This window comes from Homo sapiens, chromosome 10, assembly GCF_000001405.40.
Source record: "Homo sapiens chromosome 10, GRCh38.p14 Primary Assembly".
Classification (NCBI taxonomy): Eukaryota; Metazoa; Chordata; class Mammalia; order Primates; family Hominidae; genus Homo; species Homo sapiens.
In genome coordinates, this window is record NC_000010.11 from 35,310,784 (window position 1) to 35,337,719 (window position 26,936).

Here is a 26,936-nt window from a genome sequence, read left to right on the forward strand (position 1 = left end):
CACACTACTATGATTAGCTAACATCTTAAGTTATATTATTCACCAGGGCGAGTTCACTATTAAAAACAGAGGATTGGCCGGGAATCGTGGCTCACGCCTGTAATCCTAGTACTTTGGGAGGCCAAGGTGGGAGGATTGCGTGAGTCCAGGAGTTCAAGACCAGCCTGGGCAACATGGTGAAACCCTGTCTCAACAAAACAAAACAAAACAAAACAAAACAAAACAAAACAAAACAAAACAAGAGGATTGGAAGGCACAGTGACTCATGCCTATCATCCCAACACTTTGGGAGGCTGAGGCAGGAGGATTGCTTGAGGCCAGGAGTTGGAAACCAGGCTGGTCAACATAGCCAGATCCTGTCTCTACAAAAGCAAAATAATTAAAGTTAGCTAGACACGGTGGTGCATTCCTGTAGTCCCAGCTACTTGAGAGGCTGAGGCAGGAGGATCCTTGGAGCCCAGGAGTTCGAGGCTGCAGTGAGCTATGATTGTACCACTGCACTCCAGCCTGGGCCACAGAGCAAGACCCTGTCTCAATTAACAACAACAACAAAAAAATACAGGATATAATTTTATATTTCAAATGTTCTTGATAATTAAAAAATTATTTTTGGTTGAGCACAGTGGCCCATGCCTGTAATCCTAGCACTTTGGGAGGCTGAGGCGGGTGGATCACCTGAGCCCAGGAGTTCAATACCAGTGTGGGCAAAATGGCCAGACCCTGTCTCTCCAAAAAATACAAAAATTAGCCAGGCATAGTGGCATGTGCCTTTAGTCCCAGCTACTTGGGAGGCTGAGGTGGGAGGATCACTTGAGCTCAGGGAGTTTGAGGCTGCAGTGATCCAAGATTGTGCCACTGCACTCCAGTCTGGGCAACAGAGGGAGACCCCGTCCCCCCCACCCCCCCAAAAAAAAGTTTTTGGCTGAGTGTGGTGGCTCACGCCTGTAATCCCAACAATTTGGCAGGTTAAGGTGGGAGGATTGCTTAAGCACAGGAGTTCAAAACCAGCCTGGGCAAGGTAGGGACACCCCCTCTCTACAAAAAATTTAAAAATTAGCCAAGCATAGTAGTGTGTGCCTGTGGTCCCAGCTACTTGAGAGGTTGAGGTGGGACGATGGCTTGAACTCAGGAGTTTGTGGCCACAGTGAGCTGTGATTATGCCACTGCACTCCAGCCTGGGCAACAGAGCAAGACTCTGTCTAAAAAAAATTTTTTTGTTTGGTTCCTTCTTGTTAGAATCAATTATATTGCCATTATGTTTACCTTGCACTTGACTAAGGGTTTAGTAAAGCTATGTAAGATAATTCATATTGGCTGGTCGCGGTGGCTCACACCTGTAATCCCAGCCCTTTGGGACGCTGAGGCAGGCGGATCACGAGGTCAGGAGATCAAGACCGTCCTAGCTAACACGGTGAAACCCTGTCTTTACTAAAAACACAAAAACAAAATTAGCCGGGTGTGGTGGTGGGCACCTGTAGTCCCAGCTACTTGGGATGCTGAGGCAGGAGAATCGCTTGAGCCCAGGAGGCGGAGCTTGCAGTGAGCCGAGATTGCGCCACTGCACTCCAGCCTGGGCAACAGAGTGAGACTCTGTGTCACAAAAAAAAAAAAAAAAAAAAAAAAAATGTTAATTAGGTACTTGTAAACCCCTGTCTGTGCAAACTAATGCATGTGGGCCCTACATCCTTCTCACTATGGTGCCCTCACACCCAATTCAGGGCACCACATGGATCATTCCTGATCCATGGGCTGTCTAATGTAGTACGATGTGAGGGTACCAAGTCATTCTCCGTTTTGCGACAAAATGAACCATAGAAGGTTTTATTTTACCTCCTAGTAAACCATCTCATCCTGGGGTATGTGCCTCTGCCCCCCATCTTGTAGAACACATCTTCAGAGGGCACTATGCTGAGGAAATGGGAAAATTACCCTTATCATTATCCCAATAGAGTATTCCTTTTTACTTTTTTTTTTTTTTTTTTTTTAGAGTTGGGGTCTTGTTCTGTTGCCCATGCTGGAGTTCAGTGGTGTGATCATGGCTCTCTGTAGCCTCAAACTCCTAGGCTCAAGCCGTCCTCCTGCCTTGCCTCCTAAAATGCCAGGATTACAGGCATGAGTCAGTGCTCCCAGCCTCTTTCCTTTAGCTTAGCTCTTAGGCTTTTTCCTATCATTTCTTACCACCTTTCCTTCCAGGCATTGTAGGTCATTAAAAGTGCCTTGGACTGGGAATCAGGAGATGTGGTCTTAGCTGTCTCTTTGCTTCCAACTTGCATACAACACCCTAGGGCCAGTTCCTTCACCTTTCCCACACCTCAATTTCCTAGAGTCCAGGGATGATGATCCCTTTCACATGATCCTGAAATGGCTGCGGCTGGCTCACGTGGACTCGTGTTTGAAAGTGTGGAAAAACTGGAAACCGCCAAAGGCCAAAGACTGGTTTCATGATAACTGTCTTTCCAGTCTCATCTCTGGGGACATATAGATTCCACATAGTATATACCATTTTCACAAATTTCTTTACATTGCAGCAAATTATTTGATTGTGAAGTATTTGTTTTCTTTATATTAAGGCACTGAAGTAGGATGTACAGGTAGAGCTGTGTCGCTTGTTAGCTGGTGATACTTACAGATTCCTTCAGGTCTCTTTGCGCATGTAACTGTCACTTCCCCGAGTTTGCGTCTGTTTCAGGCTCTCTGCAACAAGCACTTTTTCACTGTCAACAAAGTCCCGTGCCTGTGCCTGCTGCAGGATTGAGGCACGGGAGCCTCCAGGTGGTTCACCTTGCTCTGGGCTCCACCCAGTGTGCCCAAGCCCAATCTACACAACCATCCAGTCAACTCAGAGTAGGGAGAGACCACAACACCAGACAACTGGTTCTGTATAAATTACTAAGATTAAAAGTAAATGGCTGGGCACGGTGGCTCATGCCTGTAATCCCAACACTTTGGGAGGCTGAGGCAGGTGAACTGCTTGAGTCCAGGAGTTTGAGACCAGCCTGGGCAACATGTTGAAACACCGTCTCTACCAAAAAAGATAAAAAAACTAGCCTGGCGTGGTGGTGCATTCCTGCAGTCTCAGCTACTCAGGAGGCTGAGGTGGGAGGATCACTTCAGCCTGGGAGGCGGAGGTTGCAGTGAGTCGTGATTGCACCACTGCACTCTAGCCTGGGAGATAAAGTGAGAGTTCATCTCGGAAAAAAAAAAAAAAAAAAAAAAAGTAAAATACTGGTTATTTTTTGTGGGGCTGGAAACATTTAATTTTGTTTTCTGATTATGAAACATTCATCTTAGAAAACTGGAAAGATAAACAGAAAAAGAAAATAAAAACGAGCTGTAATCCCAATCTCATATTTTGGTGTCAATAGTCCTCATTCTCCCTTTATGTTAATTAGATCACACTCATATTAGTCTGTTCTCTCACTGCTGATAAAGACATACTCGAGACTGGGTAATTTGTAAAGAAAAAGGTTTAATGGACTCACAGTTCCATGTGGCTGGGAGGCTTCACAATCATGGTGGAAGGCAAAAGGCACATCTTACATGGTGGCAGTCAAGAGAGAATGAGAGCCAAGCAAAAGGGGAAACCCCTTATCAAACCATCAACTCTCATGAGACTTATTCACCACCAAGAGAACAGTATGGGGTAAACTGCCCCCATGATTCAATTATCTCCCACAGGGTCCCAGCCACAACACGTGGGAATTGTGGGAGCTCTAATTCAAGATGAGATTTGGGTGGAACACAGGCAAAACATATCACACCATTTATAATTTATTAAAATTTTTTTATTGTGGTAAAATAATATGAAATTTATCATAACCTTTTCTTGTATTTTATTTCCATTTTTCTCATTTTTATTTTCCATAGTACATTTATGACACAGAAATGTCCTGCGTCCTCTCCTTGAATGTCTATAAGATTGCATTTTCAATATCTCCTGCCTGTCATTTACTTATGCTAGCAATTGAAGTCTGATTCTTGCAATGAGTATTGTCCCATTAATATTAAATAACTTTTTGCCGGGCGCAGTGGCTCATGCCTGTAATCCTAGCACTTTGGGAGGCCGAGGGGGGTGGATCACCTGAGGTCGGGAGTTCGAGACCAGCCTGACCAACATGGAGAAACCCCGTCTCTACAAAAAATACAAAATTAGCCGGCGTGGTGGCACAAGCCTGTAATCCCAGCTACTAGGGAGGCTGAGGCAGGGGAATAGCTTGAACCTGGGAGGCGGAGGTTGTGGTGAGCCGAAATTGCGCCACCGCACTCCAGCCTGGGCAACAAGAGCAAAACTCCGTCTCAAAAAAATATATATATATTAAATAACTTTTTAAAAAACTTTTAGTTTCAGGGATACATGTGCAGGTTTGTTACACAGGTAAACTTCTGTCATGAGGGTTGGGTGTACAGATTATTTCATCACCCAGGTACTAAGCTACCATAGTACCTGGTAGTTATCTTTTCTGATCTTCTCCTTCCTCTTACCCTCCTCCCTCAAGGAGGCTTCAGTGTCTGTTGTTCCCCTCTTTGTGTCCATGTGTTCTCATCATTTAGCTCCCACTTACACATGAGAACATGTGGTATTTGGTTTTCTGCTCCTGTGTTAGTTCACTAAGGATGATGGCCTCCAGCTCCATTCATGTTCCTGCAAAGGAAATAATCTCATTCTTTTTTATGGCTGCATAGTATTCCATGGTGTATATGAACCACATTTTCTTTATCCAGTCTACTGTTGATGAGCATTTAGGTTGATTCCATGTCTTTGTTATTATAAAGAGTGCTGCAATGAACAATCACATGCATGTGTCTTTAAGGCAGAACAATTTATATTCCTTTGGGTATATACCCAGTAATGGGATTGCTGGGTCAAATGATAGTTCTAAGTTCTTTGAGGAATTGCCACAGTGGCTGGACTAACTTACACTGCCACTAGCAGTGTATAAGCATTCCCTTTTCTCTACAAGCTCCCCAGCATCTGTTATTTTTTTGACTTTTTAGTAATAGCCATTTTGACTGGTGTGAGATGGTATCTCACTGTGCCATCTTACCCATTTTTAATTATGTACATTCATAATGTCATGCAACCACCACTGCCATCTGTCTCCGTTACTCTTTTCATCTTGTAAAACTGGAATGCTAAGAACATCTCATTCTAATTTCCACCCAGACCCATTTCTACCTTCTGTCTCTATAATATTGACTACTCTATCCCATATAAGTGTAATTGTCTTTTATTGTGACTGGCATAAGTAACATTTTAAAAATGTATCATATACAGTGCATTTTTTTCTGTTATAAAATCTTCTTTTACAATGTGATTTTTAATGATGCATTAGGATATTCCATTGTGTGGATCCCAGTTGATTTAGTGATGCACTGTTGTGAATACTTTGGCCATACTCTGCCTGCCTAGCAGTGTACTAGAGTAACAGAGCTGGCCAGGGGTAGGAGTCAGAAGCTAGAGATACAGAGCAGGTGTTTAACCTGAGCATATGCCCCAGAAAAGAAACTTCGATAAAATCTTCCCCCATGTTCTCACCTTCTCCTTGATGGCAGAGCTGGGCCATGTGTTCACCACTGCAGTGTGCATTCCATATGGCTCTGTCTCTACCCATATCCATGGTTATTTCTTTTGGATGAATTCACAGAAATGGAAATACAGGATTAACATGTTTATAATATTCTAAAGTTTTTCACAACAAGTGTTGCACAACTGCCATTCAGAAAGTTTGAACCAAATGTAAAAGAATGCTTATTTCCTGGGTGTTGTTGCCAAAATTGGGTGTAATCTCTTTTTTAAAACATGGTTGTGTACTGGAATAATTTTAACTGTTTATGTTTACTGAATTAAATTGTGCTATGGATATCCAGCCAAAAAAAAGTTTCCAAGCCTCTTTTGGATGGTTGTAAAATTGTTTTAGTTTTTTGTTTCTGTTTAAGGCAATAGCCACAGCAATGAAAACTGAAAGCAGAAAGTACCAAAATAGCATATTAAAATCACAACTGAATACTAGAATGTATCAATAAAGCAAGAATTCACTGATTGAGGTATTGGTAGAGAATGTTTTAGATTACAAAGCGTGTAGACCAAGTCTCGCTCTGTTGCCCAGGCTGGAGTGCAGTGGTGCAATCTCGCCTCACTGCAACCTCCACCTCTTGGGTTCAAGTGATTCTCCTGCCTCAGCCTCCCGAGTAGCTGGGATTACAGGTGCCCGCCACCACGCCCGGCTAATTTTTCTATTTTTAGTAGAGATGGGGGTTTCACCATGTTGGCCAGGCTGGTCTCGAATTCCTGACCTCAGATGATCCATCCGCTTCAGTTTCCCAAAGAGCTGGGATTACAGGCGTGAACCATTGTGCAGGGCCCAATTTTTTTTTAAGTTTATTTTTTATAGAGATAGGGTCTCCCTGTGTCACCCAGGCTGGTCTCAAACTCCTGGGCTCAAGTGATCCTCCCACCTTGGTCTTCCAATGTGTTAGGATTACAGGCATGAGCCACTGTACCTGAAACTCAATAAATACTTTCTGATCACACTCTGCACCAGGTCCTATTCCAGGAGTTGAGGGCACAGCAGTGAACAGATCTAAGTGCCTGTCCTCTTGCTGGTGATGTTGTGGCTTTCATGACCAAGACGGCAATACCTACTTTTCTACTCCAGGGTCCTTGCATGACCAAGCAGCACATGTGTTTAATCTGATTTCCTTTGGAACCTGTTGGATTTAAACTTTGACTTATGCCAGGTTTGAGTTAGGACCAGGAAAATTCCAAGCTGGTTTCTGACCTTTGAATCTGGAAGTCTAAGCTACAACTGCATGAAGACTGCACTGTGACCACGTGGCATCTCTGAGCATGGAAGAGAGCACATTTCCTTGAGAGACATTTCATAAATCCTGGCCAGCTGTCACTGCTGTGGAGGAAGCAGCACTGCCCTCCTAAGTGTGTGCGCTCCCAGGGAAAGGGGACGTGGGGAATGGTGATGGTGAGTGAAGACTCACTTTGTCTTCAAATATCGCAGTCAATGGATAGGTGAGCACCGTTTGGAGGAAGCTATTGCTTAATTGGGGCAAAAACCCATCTAGAGAGACTTTCCCTTTGGAGGAGTGATCTACACAACCATTGTTAGTAACACATACATGCAGGGCTAAGTGCTATCTTACATAGTTCCAGCCTGGCGCTGTGGCTCTTGCCTGTAATCCTAGCACTTGGGAGGCTGAGGTGGGAGGACTGCTTGAGGCCAGGAGTTCAAGACCAGCCTGGGCAACATAGGGAGACCTCATTTCTACAAAAAATTTCAAAATTGGCAGAGCGTGGTTGTGTGTGTCTATAGTCCCAGCTACTCAGGAGGCTAAGGTGGGAACATCACTTGAGCCCAGGAGTTCTAGGCTGCAGTGAGCCATGATTGTGCCACTGCACTCCAGCCAAGGTGACAGAGCAGACCCTATTTCTAAATAAATAAATAAATAAATAAATAAATAAGATTAAATAGCTCCATGTTAAGCAGAAGGGCAAGAAAGCAGAGTTGTGACCACCAACTCTGTGCATGTGCAACTACCCACCTACCCATGTGCAACTGTGGGCCTTACAACTGAGAACTGAGTAGCGAATTTTAATTTAGTCCCCTATCTAGTCATGAAGTAGAAATATCAATATATACTCCTATATCTACTGAGGAGAGATGAAAATCAGTTTTGCTGGATCTGACATGGTTTTAATTAGGTTATATACAGAAAGGTAAATGATTCTCTTATTTTCGAGGTAGTTGAGTAGCTACTTTATGCTCCTGTATTGTAAACTAAAATGTGACAGAAGCCGGATCACAAGGCAGTTTTCTTGCAGTTCTGACTATATGTTTCCCTTTGGTAATATTGAAAAGCAAGGGCTTTTTTTTGTTTCTATGGAAGGATCTGTTGGTCTATTGGTCATTTAGCAACAGCAATGCGGTGATTCGAGTGGTAGAACAATAATGATGATTCAGTAAAAAAAAAATAGTAAAAGAAGAACAAATTAAACCAATGTAAACCAAATTAAACCAAAGTAAAACCAAGTAAAAGGAAGGAAATAATAAATACAAGACCCTCCCCTCCCCTCCCCTTCCCTTGAGACGTGGTCTCACTCTGTTACCCAGGTGACAGTTTAACTGATAATTAAATTTCCTTACTACATATAGGGCTACTCAGATTTTCTATAGTTTATTTTTTTGAGACAGAGTCTCATAGTGTCACCTGGGCCGGAGTGCAGTGGCGGGATCACGGCTCACCGAAGCCTTGACTGCCTGGGCTCAAGTGATCCACCTGTCTCAGCCTCTCAAGTAGCTGAGACCAGAGGTGTGCGCCACCATGCCCCAGCTAATTTTTAAAATTATTTGTAGAGATGAGGTCTTGCTGTGTTGCCCAGAACTCTTGGGTTCAAGCAAGCCACCTCAACTGGCTAATACATATAGGAATTAAAAGAGGCTGAACACAGTGGCTCATGCCTGTAATCCCAACAATTTGAAACGCTGAGGCAGGAGGACTGCCTGAGACCAGGAGTTTGGGGCTGAGTGAGTTATGATCGCTACTGTATTCCAGCCTGGTCTGGGTGACAGAATGAGAACCTATCTCAAAACAAACAAACAAACAAACAAACAATAAGAGCAAGCAGGAAAAGAAAAAATTACCAACATTAGGAATGAAATAGATATCACCACAGATCTTGCAGACATTAAAACAAAAAAAGATTATAATTATGTAAATAAATTCAATGGCATAGATAAAATGGACAAATTGGTTGAATGCCACAGATTAACCATAGTGATTCAAGAAACTAGAAAGAAGGCCAGGCACGGTGGCTCACACTTGTAATCCCAGCACTTTGGGAGGCCGAGGTGGGTGAATTACGAGGTCAGGAGTTTGAGACCAGCCAGGCCAACATAGTGAAACCCCGTCTCTACTAAAAATACAAAAAATTATCCTCATCTCAGGAGTTTGGGACCAGCCTGGCCAACATAGTGAAACCCTGTCTCTACTGAAAATACAAAAAATTAGCTGGGCATGGTGGTAGGCGCCTGTGATCCCAGCTACTTGGGAGGTTGAGGCAGGAGAATTGCTTGAACCCGGGAGGCAAAGGCTGCAGTAAGCTGAGATCGCGCCATTGCACTCCAGCCCGGGAGACACTGTGACACTCTGTCTCAAAAAAAGAAAAAAGAAAAAAGCCCTATATATGCTAAGGAAATTTAATTATGAATTAAAACTTCCTGCAAAGAAACTTCAGACTGAGGTGGCTTCAGCAGTAAATTCTATCAAATATTTAAGGAAAAATAATAACAAACACACACAAACTCATTCTAAAAACAAAGAAAGATGACTTCTCTAGTCATTGTCTGAGCCCAGACAATGACATTGAAAGGAATACCTCACTGAATACAGTATACCTCACTGAATACAGATGCAAACATCCTTAGTTAAATTTTTGGCAAACTGAATTCAGCAATATATAACAAGGATAATGCATCATGACTAAGTGGGGTTTATCCCAAGAATGCAAGCTTGTTTTAACACTAAAAAAATCAACATACCTACCATATTAACAGAACAAAGGAGAAAAACCATATATGATTCTCTTATTAGATGCAGAAAAATAACAAAATTCGCCATCCATTCACAATTTTAAAACTCTTAGCAAACTGGAAATAGAAGGGACCTTCTTCATCCTGGTAGAGTACACAAGCTCTGAAAAACCTTCAGCTAACATTGTCTGTTAATGATGAACAACTGAATGCTTTCTCCTCAGATTGAAAATAAGGCAAGGATGTCCAGTCTCAGGATTTCTATTAAACATTACACTGGAAGTCCTAGCCAGTACAATAGGCAAGAAAAAGGCAAAGAAAACCATACAGATTGAAAAGAAGAAATAAAACTGTCTATCTGCAGATGACATGATTGTGTATGTAGAAACATTTAAGGAATCTTTATGAAAGGCAAATCAAAATAGTAAGTGACTTTAGCATAGGTTAATGCAAAAAAATATTTTCTGCATACTAGCAATAACCACCTGGAAATTTAAATAAAATATTTACTATAGTATCAAAAACAATACCTCTGGCTGGGCACGGTGGCTCATGCCTGTAATTCCAGCACTTTGAGAGGCTGAGAAGGGAAGATCACTTGAGTCCAGCCCGGGCAACACAGCAAGACCAAAAAAAAAAAAATTAGCTGGGTGTGGTGGTGCACACTGTCATCCCAGCTACTTGGGAGGCTGAGACAGGAGGACTGCTTGAGCTCAGGAGGTCAAGGCTGTAGTGAGCTATGATTATACCACTGCACTCCAGTCTGGGTGACAGAGTGAGGCTTTGTCTAAAAAAAAAAAAAAAAAATACACACACACACACACAAACACCATTTACTATAGTATCAAAAACATGGACTAGTTAGGGATAAATTTAACATAATACATGCAAGGCACCTATACAATTAAAACTATAAAAACATTGCTGAATGTTATGCTGAAAATTAAAGACGCAAATAAATGGAGATATACTATGTCTATGAACTACAAGACTAAATATGATGATGACCATTTTTCCCAAATTGTTCCACAGATACAATGTAATCTTAACTGAAATCCCAGCAGGGGTGGGGCACGATGGCTCACACCTATAATCCCAGCACTTTTGGAGGCTGAGGTGGGAAGACTGCTTGAGCCCAGGAATTCAAGATCAGCCTGGGCAATGTGGTGAAACCCCATCTCTACAAAAACAAACAGCAGCAAAATAGCCAGGTGTGGTGGTACGCACCTGTGGTCTCAGTTACTTGGAAGGCTGAGACAGGAGGATTGCTTGAGTCTGGGTGGTTGAGGATGCAATGACCTGTGATCATGCCACTGCACTTCAGTCTGGGTGACATAGTAAGACCCTGTCTCAAAAAAAAGAAAATCCCAGCAGGCACTTACATAACTTATTCTAAAATTTATATAAAAACACAAAGGACTTAGAATGCAAAAAATTTTTGAAAAAGAACAACAAAGTTGGAATATTCAAACTATCAAATTTCAAGACTGACTATAAAGCTACATTATTATTAAAGGATCAACATTTGGATCAATGGAACAAAATAAATGAACCCGCATGTCTATGGGCAAGTAATTTTTGACAAAGTGGCCACAGTAAGTCAATAGGGGAAAGACAGTCTTTTCAACAAATGGTACCGGAAAAACTGGATATCCATATGGGAAAAAATGAACATTGATTATTAACTTACTCATACACAAAATTCACCTCAAATTGGATCATGTACCTAAGCTTAAAAGGTAAAACTTGGATGGGTGCGGTGGCTCACGCCTGTAATCCCAGCACTATGGGAGAACGAAGCGGGTGGATCACCAGGTCAGGAGATCAAGACCATACTGGCCAACATGGTGAAACCCTGTCTCTACTAAAAATACAAAAATTAGCTGGGCATCGCAGTGCTTGCCTCCTGTAGTCCCAGCTACTTGGGAAGCTGAGGCAGAATTGCTGGAACCTGGGAGGCAGAGGCTGCGGTGAGCTGAGATCACGTCACTACACTCCAGCCTGGGTGACAGAGCAAGACTCTGTCTCAAAAAAAAAAAAAAAGGTAAAATTAAAATTTCTAAAATAAAACAGGAGAACATTTACATGATCTGAAGGGAGTCAAAGAGTTCTTAGATAATTGAATACACACACACAAAAAAACAAAAAAAGACAAGAGCTATAAAAGAAGATAGCAAAAAATTAGACTTTTACAAAGTTAAAGACTTCTGCTCTTCAAAAGACAATGCTAACAAAATGAAGACAAGTCACAGACTGGGAGAAAATAGTCACACAACACATATCTACATACCTGCCAAAGGTATTGTATCTGGAATATATGAAGACTTTTTAGCAACCCAACTAAATTGGAAAAGACACTGAATAGGCACTTTACAAAGATATATTAGTATCCAACATGCACACAAAAATATGTCAACATCATTAGCCATCAGGGAAATGCAAAGTAAAACCACAGTGAGATACCACTACGTATCCATTAGGATGGTGAAAATTAAAAAGACTGATAATAGCAAGTATTGGTGAGAATGTAGGGCAACTACAACTCTCATAACTTTACCGGTAGGATGTAAGATGGTACCAGGACTTTGGAAAACAGTTTGGCCATTTTTTATTTTTTTTGAGATGGAGTCTCGCTCTGTCGCTCAGGCTGGAGTACAGTGGTGTGAGCTTGGCTCAGTCTCACCTCCACCTCCCAGGTTCAAGCGATTCTCCTGCCTTAGCCTCCCAAGTAGCGGGATTACAGGTGTGTGCCACCATGCGTGGCAAATTTTTTTTGTATTTTTAGTAGACACAGGGTTTCGTCATGTTGGCCAGGCTGGTCTCGAACTCCTGACCTCAGGTGATCTGCCCGCCTCGGCCTCCCAAATTGCTAAGATTACAGGCATGAGCCACCGCACTCGGCTGCCATTTCTTTTAAAATTAAACATACACTTAGCATACAACCCAGTAGTCTTACTCCTAGATATTTACCCAAGAGAAAACATGTCCACACAAAAACTTGTACATAGATGTTCATAATGGCTTTATTCATAATAGACAAAACTGGACAAAGCCTAAATGTCCATCAACATTTGTGGTATATAAACAAATTGTGGTATATACATACACTGGAAAAATACTCAGTGATAAACAGAAATGAACCACTCATTCATGCAACATAGACAAGTCTAAAAACATTATGCTGAGGAAAAGAAACCTTACACACAAGAGTCTATACATTTTATAAGATCACATTTTTATGAGACTCTAGAAAAGACAAATCTGATCCACAGTGACAGAAAACAGATCAGGGCTTGCCTGGGACCAGGGACGAGTACCAGGGAATTTTGGGGTGATGGAAATGTTCTAGATCTTGATTGTGGTGATGGTGGTTACATGCGTATATTACTTTCTCAAAACTCATCAAACTGTGGCCTGGCGTGGTGGCTCCCACCTGTAATCCCAGCATGTCCGGAGGCCAGGGAAGGCAGATCACCTGAGGTCAGGAGTTTGAGACCAGCCTGGCCAACATGGTGAAACCCTGTCTCTACTAAAAATACAAAAATTAGCAGGGCATGGTGGGCACGTGCCTGTAGTCCTCGCTACTCAGGAGGCTGATATAGGAGAATCGCTTGAACCTAGGAGGCAGAGGTTGCAATGAGCTGAGATCACACCACTGCACTCCAGCCTGGGCTACAGTGAGACTTTGCCTCAAAAAAAAAAAAAAATTCCAAAGGTCTAAACTTCAAAGATAATAAATACTAAATATATTTGGTGTACAAAGGGAATGTGAAAAAGAATACACCTCAAACCCAGGAAACGAGGCTCAATTCCTTTAAGAAGCCTCCACTTAGACAGACGACCCTGGCACTCATAGCTCAAAGCCTTGTCCTCAGAAAGGCAATGAGAGCTTTACAGTACCTGCTTTGTAAAACCAGATTTAGCCCTATTACTGCCCACTCTGAAGCCAAGTCTCTTACTCCTCTGCCAATGCCTTCCTTACATCATCCACTGGAGAAAATTACTGCAGCTGAGCTCTGTAAATTAAATGGCATGAATGAGCAATGCTAATCTGAATACCTATAACATTTTTGGAATTACTAAGCATATGAGCTTATTTGGATTTGTAATGAAACCCTGTAAACAAAGTATTTGTACAAACCCTTTGAATTCAGTAAATCAACACAACAAAATTACACCGACAAATACGTAGGTATCTACTGTGGTCTCAAGGAGCTGAAGATCTCATTGAAAAGAGTTTGTAAGCACGGAATTGCCAAATAAACAAGACACCCAGTAATTCCTCTAAGAGCTGAGATGGGGGAAGCATCACTTTAGGCTTTAGTAGTCTAGAGAGGCCTGATGAGAAACTCATACTTATGCAGAACCAAAATCCAAAAGACCAATAAGGAATTTTTTTTAATTATAGAGTGCTGCTTTTGTGCATACTTTTTTTTCTATAAAGTTGAAATGGGTCTGAAGAATAAAAGAAACATTAGCCTATATTTAACAGTCATAAAGGATAAATTAGCCTATATTTATCCTTCATAAAGGATATTTTGTGATGATTCTAATTCTCTGAATAATAGTTATTTGTGCACACTTATATATAGGCAGCCTTCTGAAGGCTATAATGAGAACACCCATCATCCCCTCAGTCCCACTCATGGAACCACTAGAAGAGATTGAAATTTTAAGTGTCAACATACTATAAAAATATAGAGAATTAGCTAGCTGTATAAACAACATAAATTAACTGCAGACATTTTATTTGGAGATATGAAGTTAAGGACATTTTTGGCAATCCCAGTTAAAATTTGATTTTAACTAAAAATTTAAACCTAATTATATTGGTAATGACTCTTATTTCCCTTTCATTTTTGTTGTTTTTTGAGATGGAGTCTCACTCTGTCACCCAGGCTGGAATGCAGTGGCATGATCTCGGCTCACTGCAACCTCTGCCTCCTAGGTTCAAGCAATTCTTGTGCCTCAGCCTCCTGAGTAGCTGGGACTACAGGCGTGCGCCATCACACCTGGCTAATTTTTTTATTTTTAGTAGAGAGGGGTTTCACCACGTTGGCCAGGCTGGTCTCGAACTCCTGACCTCAGGTGATTCACCCACCTTGGCCTCCCAAAGTGCTGGGATTGCAGGTGTGAGCCACCAAGCACAGACCCTTTTTTTTTTTTTTTTTGAGACAGAGTTTCGCTCTTGTTGCTCAGGCTGGAGTGCAATGGCGTGATCTCAGCTCACTGCAGCCTCTGCCTACAGGGTTCAAGCTGAGGCCTCCCGAGTAGCTGGGATTACAGGCATGCGCCACCACTCCCAGCTAATTTTGTATTTTTTAGTAGAGACAGAGTTTCTCCATGTTGATCAGGCTGGTCTTGAACTCCCTATCTCAGGTGATCCACCCGCCTCGGCCTCCCAAAGTGCTGGGATTATAAGGGTTGAGTCACTGCGCTTGGCCCCCCTTTCATTTTTTAAAATCAACTTTGGTCAGGCCTGGTGGTTCATGCCTGTAATCCCAAAACTTTGGGAAGCCAAGACAGGAGGATCTCTTGTGGTCAGAAGTTCGAGACCAGCCTGGGCAACATAGCAAGACGCCATCTCTTAAAAAAAAATTAGCTGGGCATGGTGGCACATGCCCGTGGTCCCAAATACTTGGGAGGAGGCTGAGGTAGGAGGATCGCTTGAGCCCAGGAGTTCAAGGCTGCAGGGAGCCATGATTATGCCACTGCACTTTAACCTAGGCAACAGGGCAAGACTTTGTCTCAAAAATAAATAAATAAACTTTACTGAGATACAGTTTACATAAAATAAAATGCGCCCATTTTACAGTTTAATGAGTTTTTTGTTTTTTTTTTGAGACAGAGTCTCACTCTGTCATCCAGGTGGAGTGCAGTGGCACAGTGGAGTGCCTGGCCTGGAAAATATTTTTCAATGGAGAAGACTATGGTTTGCATTTTGGAGACATTACCTTTTACAGTGTTTTAATAATGAAAAGGCACAGGAAAATGCACATACAGTTACTCAAAGTACAGCCTTGGGGAGAGGAATGAGAAAGGAGAGGCAATGAAACGGCAGGGCGCTCAAAAGGATGGAACCGAAGTGACTAGACAGAAAGCATCTTGGCTTAAGTGGCAGCATAGCTAATATAATTTTACAGTAAGTTAAATAAAATAGAAGCTAACACGTTCAGTGCCCAAAGGCAAGAAATTGTACCAGTTGATGCCTTTTAGTCTAAGAGCTAGGATTCTGTACAGATTGCTGAGTTTCCAGGCTGCACTTTTCCTGGATCAGAACCATTGCTTCTAGGCCGGGTGTGGTGGCTCACACGTGTAATCCCAGTGCTTTGGGAGGTTTGCTTGAGCCTAGGAGTTTGAGACCAGCCTGGGCAACATAGCAAGACCCTGTCTCAAAAAAAGAAAAATTAAAAATTGGCTGGATGTGGTGGTGCATACCGGTAGTCCCAGATACTAGAGAGGCTTAGGTGGGAGGATCGCTGGAACCCAGGGGTTGGAGGCTGCACTGAGCTATGATGGTGCCACTGTACTCCAACCTGGGTGACAGAGTGACACTGTCTCTTAAAACAAACAAACAAACAAACAAACACCATTGCTTCCCTTTGTCTCCTCGTCCTCCTGGTCTTATAACCACGTATGAAGTGTCTTCCTGCCTGGATTTTGTTCTAACGTGGGCATGGATTCTACTCTACAACCTTCCTTGTTTTAGCAAACCACAATGGTTTATACAAAGATTAATAAGGGGAAAAGCATTTGAAGTAAAAATATTTCGCTAGGCTATTCTTTTTTGGAGGGAGGAAATGTATTATTTCTTTTAAAAAAGATAAATATTTAAAGTAAAAAAGAAAAAAGAAGGAACAGAGGAAAAAAAAGTCAACTAAGTTAATCACTGTTTAACAGTGAATATCCCTAAAAACATCTCTTTGCATATATATTCAGTTTTGCAATCTGCTTTCTCTCTCAACAATATTTCGTGGCTTTCTTTCTATAACAATAAATACAGATGTACATCCTTATTTTTATGACTTCATAGAATTCCATTGTAGTCCACTGTATGTAATTAGTTATCATTCATGGGCATTTAGGTTGCATTGTTTTTCACTATTATAAATTAAATGGCAATTTTTAGCATATTTTGCCCAACTAATCTAACATCTATGAATATTAATATTCTTTCCAAATTTTAAAAAAATCAGTAATATTTTGTGAATGGAGAAAACTGTTAGCAGGAGTAGATGTATTTTTACTTCCTGAGAAGTGCTTTCCTTCTGCTACTGTATTTGCAATATTACAATGTTCACTTTTAGGGTATGGAAGATAGTAACCTAAATCCTGTTCCTCTCTTCTGTTGAGCACTGTATACACAGAAGCTTCCCAAGGAAAAGCTATGAACTCTACACTTTGGAGGAGGTTGAGGCAGTGGGGGTGAGAGGTACGAGTCTTTCCTAAGCTGACTTTACTGTTTTTTGCCTGATCTCCTGCATACCTGATGTCCCCATGTTTTCCTCTAAGTGCTCCAGGCCCTCCATGGTGGCTCCTGGCTGGACCCCCAGCAAGAGCTGATCCTGTTCTCTCACTGGTCCTTTCTCTCTAGCTTTTCAGAGGTTACCAAGTGAAGGAACGAGGCTTACAGAGATTGCCCTGTGTTTTTCCGTTCCTTTAGTGCCTTGAGAGGTAAGCCAGCTGGCTAAGATAAACTAGCTGGTACTGTGCTAGCAGAGAACGATAACACTTTGATGTGTGAATATTCCAAATACCACTTCTCAAAGACAAAATGAGATTTTAAGGCATCAGTCCCAAAGGGATAATAAACTGGCAATTTTGGGCCCCCTAACGGGCATTGAAGGTGTTATCACCAGGCAAAGAGGGCCTCTGCATCCTCAGGGCACACCAGTGAGGGGGGCACTCGCTTTGACCTGCCTCTTTCCAGCCCAGTACCATAGCAAGCAAAGCTATACAGATGTTACGGAACTGATCTCATTTTCAAACAGAAGACCCCAAATCCTGGGGCTGATACCAAAAGACGTGAAAATGGAGCTGGGATATAGGCAGAAGAGTGGGATTTACACTTCTTTTTATCATTCATTGTTTTTCCTGGCATTTATCATACAGTGACCAATCAACATTCATTAAAACGTAGCATCATATACTTTGCCAAGGTAAAGTCTCCAGGAAATGCAGGATAGTAACTAAGCAACAAGAAGACTCTGTGGTTTGTGATACTCATTTCTCAGGCTCCTGAGTGTATATAATGAGGTTATATTACATCATGGAGAAACACTGCAGGCAGAACCAACTACAACTTCGTGTGATGGATAAAATAAAAAACAGGAGTGTTAAAAGGACACAGTGAGCAATGTGGAACTTGGAAAAGAAAAACATGTTGAAGAGCTGTCAGGCCAGGTTTAGTTGAATCCAGCTCTCCAACTGTATGCAGCTTCCCTAGGTTAGGTATGCAAAGCTTTATTTTGGTCTACCACAGGGAAACTGAGATTGAGACAATTACTGTTTCTGCAGATTTACCTAGAAAGGGCCTGTTAGGTGTTACTGTTCTCAGTACTGTGCTACAAAGAGTAAAACAAGTTCTGTTTTCCACTTCAGAGCTTACTTGGAGAAATGCAAGTAAAACATAATACATCTTGATAAATGTGTATAAATCATAATACATCTTGATAAGTATGTATAAAATGCTGCTAGAGCAATGGAAATTTCTCCAATTACAGATCACAGAATGACCAAAAGTTCTCTAGGTTTGGAACATCGATAAGGAAACAATTATTTGTGTAAAATGATGTAAACTTTCTAAGATGTCATATGGCAATATTAAGAGATTTAAAAATGTTCCTTTTTGGTCAAAATGACCTAGGAATTCCAATTCTAATGATTCCTTTTATAGAAATGAGCAGATGCTGACAAAGATTAGCATATAAAAATGTTCATCCCCGGCCGGGTGCAGTGGCTCATGCCTGTAATCCCAGCACTTTGGGAGGCCCAGATGGGTGGATCACAAGGTCAGGAGATCGAGATCATCCTGGCTAACATGGTGAAACCCCATCTCTACTAAAAATAAAAAATAAAAAAAAATTTTTTCATCCCGTAACTGTTTTTTATCATCCTGAAAAAGAAACAAATGAAATGTCCATTCTTTGGGGAGAGGTTAAATAAGTTAGAGTACACCTAATACAATATATTTTGCAGTCATTATAGTTTTAAAAAAATGCTAACTGGCATGGAAAATATTTATTTATTCAGAGAGAATCTATGCGAGTTTATGATCTCCAGTATGAAGGACAAAGGAAAAGCATTGTTTGTGCCAGGCCTTGAAGCTTAAGTCAGATTAAAGACATGCAGAGGTGGGGAGGAATGGTGCTCAGAGGGACGAGGTCACAGGAGTAAAGTGAGAGGCCAGAGTGGCAGACACAGAGGGAGTTGTGAGCAGGTTTGAGCAGCTGGGGAGAAAGCCTGGCGAGCAGGCCAACCTGACTGTCAGGTGGGCTGGGTTTTTAGTTAAAAACAATGAGAAGCTACTGACAGATTTTAAGCAGGGGAGGGACAGGACCGCCTGCTTCAGTAGGGTCTATTGAGCTGCTCCTGGGGGGCCCAGGGCTATTTTAATGTCGAATTATAGCTGCAGTGCGTTTTGAGTTCCTTGGAGGTTACTAACGTGAGACAGAGACAAGTACGTTAATACAACTCATCAACTATCCCTGTTTTGCTTTCAAAATGCTGTTGGGTTTTGTCCTGTTAGGGACAGGGTCTGAAGTGAAGCCAGTTAACTAAGATTAAGGTATGTGAAAGTGCCTGGCTCGAGGGAGACACTCAATAAATCCCCTCCCAATGCCAGTCACCTTGGATAGAAAGATTTCTTGCCAGGGTATATTCAAGGAGCTTCCTATTCAGAGGAACCATTAGCTACAGTTCTGGGAATACTGAAGAAGTGCTGTATTAAAGTAATGCATCTGACAATCCTAATTTTCATGGGCCTAATCTGCCTCTTGGGTGAATCATTTCTTTTTCCTACCTATACCGTATCTTGGCTCCAGAGGCTGCCTACTGTATCATTCCATTCCATCCTGGATTCTCCTATAGGGAGCCAAGTACACATGATAGCCCCACAGGTCTTGGTCACAATACCTATCATCTGGGGGCCAATCAAGGAAAACTGTCAACATGAATATATGAAGCTCTTATCAATGAATAATACCAATTCCTGGCTAGATCGGGATTACATTTGCCTGCATACAACTTGGGAATTCAAAATAACAATGATTTATACACACAGTTTATTTCTCTCATGTAAAAGAAGCTTACACAGGGACATTATCTTAGTTCATGGCTTCTATCTTCAAGGTCACTTGGCATTCAAAACTGGATGCTAGAATTCCAGCTATCCTGACCATACTCCAAGAAGCAGAGAAGAGGCAGCTTTTATTTTTTTTTTTTTTTTGAGATGGAGGCTCGCTCCTGTCGTGCAGGCTGGAGTGCAGTGGCAACATCTCAGCTCACTGCAAACCTCCACCTCCTGGGTTCAAGCAGTTCTCCCTCCTCAGCCTCCTGAGTAGCTGGGATTACAGGCATGCGGCACGGCCATGCCCGGCTAATTTTTGTATGTTTAGTAGAGACGGGGTTTTGCCATGTTGGCCAGGCTGGTCTTGAACTCTCGACCTCAGGTGATCCACTGCCTTGGCCTCCCAAAGTGCTAGGATTACAGGCGTGAGCCACTGCGCCTGGCTAGAGGTAGCCTCTTTAGAGAGCTTTTCTGGAAGCGTCCACTCACATCTTATTGGCCAGACTTAGTCCTGTGGCCAGCTGTCATCTTTGAGCTGGGCATACTGCTGTTCCTCACAAAACAGGCCTTGAAACTATGGGAGATGGGAGAACAGCCATTGGGGAGCACAGTAGCCACCTCTCTCACTTCCAACTTATGCCTGACCCTGCTAGATGCTACACTTTGCCTGCTCACAGGTACATCCTAGTTCTCAAGGATCCCACATATATATACCATTTCTCTTCTTGAAAAGTATGGAAGGATAAAGAAGGTAGAGTTCGACAAGACAGAGCCTGGGCTTCCTAAGGCCATTTAGTCTGGGGACAAATGGTGAACTTGCAGTGGTGAGGTAGATAAATCAGTTTCCAAGTGGGCTTTCTCCCAGATGCCAGAGACCCTGGCTGTCCCTGTTTCATCATGCATTCCATCAACAAATGATTTACTTAGGAAAAAATATGGGGCACAAGTGCTACCCTCCCTCACTCGTTCCCTCATGGTGGCTCCCTTCTCGGCTAAGCTGGAACATGACCTCAGAATCCTCAACACAACGTCCCTGGCAGTTACTCTGGTCCAAAAGACTTGACACTACTACTTAAAACTATTAGCCATCCTTATTTCTTGTGGGAATTTTTATTTGGACGCACAATTTCTGGGTAGTTTCTAATTTCATATAAATATATTTCTCATGGTGGAATTTTAGGTATATGCCCAGGCGATAAATGTAGGTATTTATAGGCGGCAGGCTTTGCATTTCTCAGATTTCACCACTCAGTGGCTGTAATCACTCTCATTGCTGGAAACTTGTTCTTGTGATTGTTTAACTTACTGGACTGTGAGTTTCTCCAGAATGGAAACTATAATCCACTTTCGTATCCTCAAGGTGCCTGGCTCAGTATACTCTCAAAAATGTTATCCAGAAATGAGTCACCTGACTTGATCAAGGTCAAGTGGCTATCAAAGTAAATACTTCCCCTGTAGCTGGTTACACTGTGGACTGCCTACTACCAAGGACAAAAGGCAGGCCTCATTTGGAGAGGAGGTCGGTGACAGGAGGAGCATCAGTAGCACAACACACAGAATGTCTTGGTTATTTCACAACTGCCTTATAAATGCTCGAGTAACCGTCATGAGAAACTGACTACCAGGTGAAAGGGCAGCCATACTCTGAGGAGACACTACAGATTTTCCTTTCCACAAAAGGTTCAGGTCCTGGGCTAACTTGGCTCAGTGTTTTCTGTGTTCCAGAAGGTGACTCAGGGAGTTGTGCAAATGACTGACTCATATTTCATGGATACGAGTATGGCTGATGTAAGACTGCAGTTATCTCCTCCTGATTCAATTAAGGTAGACTATTCTTGATTGTTTTTATCAGTAGATCTATAAATTATACAAGTTGATACTAATATTGCTTATGTTTTAAATAGTGTGGTTCCACAGAAAATTTTGTTTTTTCTGTGAGAAACAAAGCTACTATTGCTAAAAAAGTGTCAAGAGCACTGACTTAGCTATAGTTCATCTGAGTTTTTTTTGAGACGGAGTCTTGCTCTGTCACCCAGGCTGGAGTGCAGTGGCACGATCTCGGCTCACTGCAACCTCCACCTCCCGGGTTCACACCATTCTCCTGCCTCAGCCTCCCGAGCAGCTGGAGCTATAGGCGCCCACCACCACGCCTGGCTAATTTTTTGTATTTTTAATAGAGACAGGGTTTCACTGTGTTAGCCAGGATGGTCTTGATCTCCTGACCTCGTGATCCACTCACCTCAGCCTCCCAAACTGCTGGGATTACAGGTGTGAACCACCGCGCCCGGCCCACCTGAGTTTTATATTTACCTGGTTACAGTGACCAAATTCTTCAACAGTGATCATGGAGAAAGATGAGACAAAATAATTCCCAAATGATTCTTTCTGCTCAAAGACCAGGGTGGGTATGAGTAGATCCAGGTCAATTTTTTTTTTCTTTTAAGAGACAGGGTCTCACTCTGTCACCTAGGCTGGGGTACAGTGGTACAATCATAGCTCACTGCAGCCTCCTACTCCCAGACTCAAGCCATCTTCCTAATCCTCCTCAAGCTTGAGGACAGGCCTTGTTACAATGCTCAGTGTGTACCTCTCCCCTTCTCCACTCCCCTTGTCCACATTCTGGGCTAGATCCACACTCTATTGAGGAACTGTCTCTGTATTTTGATTCCCGAGTGACACAGTGTTGGAGATCCTGTGGCTAGATACACAGGTTATTTCTGCATATGGCTACTCCTCAACCTTGTTGCCTGTCTTACTCTGGTCTGAGAGCTGAACCCCACAGAAATAACAAGGCTCCCCTCATCCCTTTCTCTGAAAGATTAGTACTAGTCCTAAGTGGTTAGCTCCCAGCTTCCTTTAGGACAGAAAAAAGAGAAGGAGAGAAGTGACACTTGTTTTTTTACTCACAAAGTCTTGGAGATAGGAGGTAGGAGGTTGGGGTGGATGTAGCTTGGACTTTGGAATTAGAACCAGGTTCAAATCCCCAATTAGGACATTTCTCAGTATTTTGATCTTAGATAGGTTTACTTATCAAAGTGTCTATTTATAAAATGGGGTATAACTTAATCAGATTTAGATGTAAGAAATAGTATAGTGCATGGCAGCTAGCAGGCTTTCAACGAACGACATCTCTCATTACTATCATTTTGACATCACATTTATCTGCTCAGAGTTGGTTACTGTTCTGCAATTTTTCCCAAAGTGTCACTGTGTGTCAGGCAGGGAGTATCTGCCTGGAGGAGTTTGAAGTATGCATGTAGGGTGGATGAGTTGTGGGGGTCGGCACCCAGGTAAATCACTAGCGAGGCTTTAGTACCCGTCTTTTCTCTCCAGGATTCTTGACCAAAAGTTACACTCTAAATTAAAGTCCAAACAGGTACATACCTAAGGGGAATATGGTGGAAATGTCAAAGAGGAGATAGGGAAAGAGGGGGAGGGGGGCGGGGCACAAAAATCCTGGCAGACCAGAGGCTGTACCACCCTTTGTTAAGGGTATGTGGCTACACTGATCTCTCATCCTCCAGATGCTCTTCCCAGTTAACACTGCCCAGTGACCTTCTTGGACAGGAAGCATGCAGCCAGCCATGCTGTCACCTTAGTGCCACTGTCTCTTTCTCCTCTTAAGCCCTTCAAACCATAATTTGAATGTAAATGTTATACATTTTATAATGAAATAAAAATAGCTTAATGCATCTGAGTAGATATGCCACACACCTATGGTCCAATGACTGGATGCTGACTTTCATATGTGGCCCAAATTACAAAGCAGCAATCAGAACAGACAACAACAGACAACAAGGGAACTTCTCTCCCACGGGTTCAGCAATCTGACCCAAACTCCATAGCCCCAGACAATCTGAATACACACATGCAAGTGTAAATATGCCCCAGTTTTCCCAGGAAGCAGGAAAATCTACACAGCCTCAATGAAGAGCACTATTTTGGACTGTTGTTGTCTACCCACCCTCTCCAGGGCTTTAATTCTTTAGAACTTCCCTTTTACACTTCTTTTCTCATCTGGTCAGCATTACCACTTTGCAGCCACTTATTTTCCATGGACATCTGCCACTTATCCTAACAAATAGCATTAATACAGTTGAGAGCATGGAGCGTTTAAAATATGGACTAATAAATGTATAAACAGTACTTTGAGAGGGAGGGAAAGCACAGGTTAAAAAATGGCTAGATGTAGAGAATTAAATGAAATGTTTATAAAGCCGTTCACACGATGTCCACACATTGCTGATGCTAGATAAATATCAAGTCCCTTATTCCTTCTCTTACCTTTTAGTAACTGGATTTGTCACGAACAGGTACTGAGGTCTGCATAAATCAAGGCATGATTTCATCTCTGGGCCTCAGTTTCCTCATATATAAAATTAAGACAGTTGTACTATTGTACTAGTTTTTTTTTCAAGAACTAGTTCAAAAACATTCCCAGCTCCCACCCCCACCCCCCCACCCCACAAGACTCTCCTCAAGACTCCTTCAGTAAATATTTGGAAAAAGGGTGGGAAGTTTGTTTCTGCCACCTTATATTCTTCCCAATAAAGGCAAGAAAAGTCAGGGATGGCTGGCATTGTGGGCGTCGGGAGGGAATGCGAACCAACATTTACTCTACTTCTCTCCCAGCCAGGCATGTTCACATACCTTGATCTTAGTCAACTGGCCTAAGTTAACTTGTTCCCAACATGACAAAACCCGATGGCATTCTAAAAGCAAAGCAAAGCAAAGCAAGGGCAGTCGATGAGTTGTGTTAACTTAGTTTTCTATCTCATGTTAACCTCCAAGGAACTCAAAACAACTCCACAGCGAATTCAATATTAAAATAGCTCTGGGACCCCAAGATTTATTTCACAGCTTAAAGCAAGGTCACTATCAAGTCCTCGGCAAAGCTCAAAATACAATAGAAAACTCCCAAATCAAGCCCCAGCTTATTTAAATGCTTAGAAAAAAAAAATAGCCAGGTGCCGTGGCTCATGCCCGTAATCCCATGGGAGGAGTCCAGACGGGAGGATTCCTTGAAGACAGGAGTTCGATACCAGCCCGGGTTACGAAGCGAGATCCCATCTCTACAAAAAGTTAACACACACACACACACACATTCACCACCTTAGCCTGGCTTAGTGGCGGGCGCCCGTGTTACAAAGGGAGATCCCATCTCTACAAAAAGTTAACACACATACACACCCTACCTTAGCCTGGCGTAGTGGCGGGAGCCTGTAGTCCTCGCTACTTTGGAGACACACACACACACACACACCCGTAGTCCTCGCTACTTTGGAGACACACACACACACACACACACACACACCTTAGCCAGGCGTGGTGGCGCGCGCCTGTAGTACCGGCTACTTTGGAGGCTGAGGCGGGAGAATCGCTTCAGCCTAGGAGTTCGAGGCTGCAGTGAGCCGAGATTGCGCCACTGCCCTCCAGCCTGGGCGACAGAGCGAAATCATACCTCTAAAAAAATAAATTAGAAAAATAAAAAGACAAAAAGAGCCAGCCCGGTTTCGGAGAGGCAGGTGCAGCCTCAGCGCCCTGGGCCTGCGTCCCCGACCGGGCCCTGGCTGCGCTCCCGCCCGCTGCGGGCCCCGGGGACGCACCTCGCATCCCGCGCTGGGCCCCGTTCCGTCCAGCCCGGGGGAGTGGAGGAGGCAGAGGCCGGGTGGGGAAGGGCCTCCAGAAACCGAGCTCCCGACGACGTCTCCCGCGACCCCAGTGCCCGAGAGAGGAGCGGCCCCCGGGAGCGATCCCACAACCGCGCGGGGCTGCGCCGCCCCGAACCTCCCCGCGGCCGCCGATCTGCTTCCAGGGCAGAGGGAAGGGGCGGTGACGGGGCGGGGCGGGGGCTGCGGCGAGGGCGGGCGCCGCTGGCGAGGGAGGGCCGCCAGCATCCTCCCTGGCCGCGCCGCACCGCGCCGCGAGGAGTCCGGGGGCTGCGCCCACGCCCGCTGCCCGCCCGCTCGTCGGCTAGTCCCGCCGTCCGGCGCGGACACGCGTGCCCCCGGCTTGAACCGGAACCTCTTGCCGAGGCGGCCGCCGTCGCCGCAGCCGCCGGGGAAGCGGACACCAACTGGGGAAGCGCGGGGGGGAGGCGGCCTGCGCGGCGCCGCCCGCCATGGCCGCGGCGGGGTGAGGTAGGCGCGGCGGCCGCAGTCGCGCGGACCCGAGCGCTCCTCCGCCGCGGATAGGCCGGCCGAGGGGGAGCCGGGGCCGTCGCCCGCTCGTCGCCGCCGCCGCCGCCGCCGCCCATGGCGAGGCCCCGCCGCCGCCGCCGCTGCTGACCCGGCGGCCGGCCGCCGTTCCGCCCCCTCCCGTGGCGGCGAGCGGGCGGGCCTCCCCACACGCCCCCGCCGCCCGCGCCCCGCGTCCACCCGCGCCCCGCTCCCGGGGACTGGGAGAACAGGATAGCAGCAGGAGTCGGGGGGCCGCCGAAGATGGGGAACACTACCTCGTGCTGCGTGTCGTCCAGTCCCAAGCTCCGGAGGAATGCCCACTCCCGGCTGGAGTCCTACCGGCCAGACACGGACCTGAGCCGCGAGGACACGGGCTGCAACCTGCAGCACATCAGCGACCGGGAGAACATAGACGGTGAGTGCGGCCCGCCGAGCCCCCTACCCGCCCCCGCGGCAACAGTCGCACAGCCAACGTCGGGGCGGCCCGGCTGCTCTTGCTTGCCCAGCCGGTCTCGGCGACCCGTGCATAACCGGGGCTTCGCCCGCGCAGCCTAGGCGCCCGGGGCCCCGCAGCCTCTGGGCGTACCCCTCGCTGGTTACCCCCAAGTGAGCGGCCGCGGAAACTTTGCAGGCCCGCGGCATCGAGCACGGCGGGCCTAGGGCGGGTGTGTGCGCGTGGGTCGCGAGGTGACAGGAGCCGGCCCTCGTCCTTAATGGAGCGGCCAGAGCTGGGTGGGGGCGGCCCGGGAGCTCGGGGTTCCCGGCACTACCTGAATGCAGCCCGAAGCCAAGTTGTGCACGCGTTTGTCCTATAAAAGCGAAGTGAGTGGATTCCCATTTTGGAATCCCGGTGTCTCCAACCTCGAGTTGGAGAACCATGTTGAGTCAGTTCCCCGGAACCTTACAAATGGACTCCACTTCCCCCGT

The 26,936-nt window shown here is 44.4% G+C and overlaps 1 protein-coding gene and 1 long non-coding RNA gene across 21 annotated transcripts in view, besides 2 other annotated features; one reads left to right on the forward strand and one right to left on the reverse strand.

Annotated features, from left to right (window-relative positions):
- Window positions 1-26,936, forward strand: part of CCNY (cyclin Y) — a 325,643-nt gene that overhangs the window by 63,759 nt on the left and 234,948 nt on the right. For 4 of the 5 annotated variants that reach the window (NM_001282853.2, NM_145012.6, NM_001282854.2 and 1 more), the window contains exon 1: window positions 25,726-26,424. The exons of the other annotated variant lie outside the window; for it this stretch is intronic. Coding sequence is in view for 2 of the 4 variants with exons in the window: in NM_145012.6 (NP_659449.3) it covers window positions 26,271-26,424 (154 nt within the window). In the remaining 2 variants the exon portion in view is untranslated. Of the gene's footprint in view, window positions 1-25,725; window positions 26,425-26,936 lie in introns of those variants that run through there. 5 annotated transcript variants of the gene reach the window in all.
- Window positions 3,450-25,641, reverse strand: CCNY-AS1 (CCNY antisense RNA 1). 16 transcript variants are annotated; one of them, NR_186476.1, is made up of 6 exons: window positions 25,437-25,641; window positions 25,145-25,293; window positions 10,770-10,887; window positions 10,073-10,329; window positions 5,537-5,626; window positions 3,450-4,642 (listed from the first exon to the last, which is right to left on the reverse strand). It is a non-coding gene; the product is annotated as a CCNY antisense RNA 1 (long non-coding RNA). The 16 variants fall into 16 exon arrangements; NR_186464.1 differs by lacking the exon at window positions 25,145-25,293; NR_186475.1 differs by lacking the exon at window positions 10,073-10,329.
- Window positions 21,458-21,752: an enhancer, noted in NCBI's record as "tiled region #12265; K562 Activating DNase matched - State 5:Enh, and HepG2 Activating non-DNase unmatched - State 5:Enh". NCBI's record gives its function as "activates a minimal TATA promoter and a strong SV40 promoter by Sharpr-MPRA in K562 cells, with weaker activation in HepG2 cells {active_cell/tissue: HepG2 | K562}" and the evidence as "EXISTENCE:reporter gene assay evidence [ECO:0000049][PMID:27701403]".
- Window positions 25,352-26,091: a silencer, noted in NCBI's record as "silent region_2305". NCBI's record gives its function as "represses an Ori minimal core promoter by ATAC-STARR-seq in GM12878 lymphoblastoid cells {active_cell/tissue: GM12878}" and the evidence as "EXISTENCE:reporter gene assay evidence [ECO:0000049][PMID:35858748]".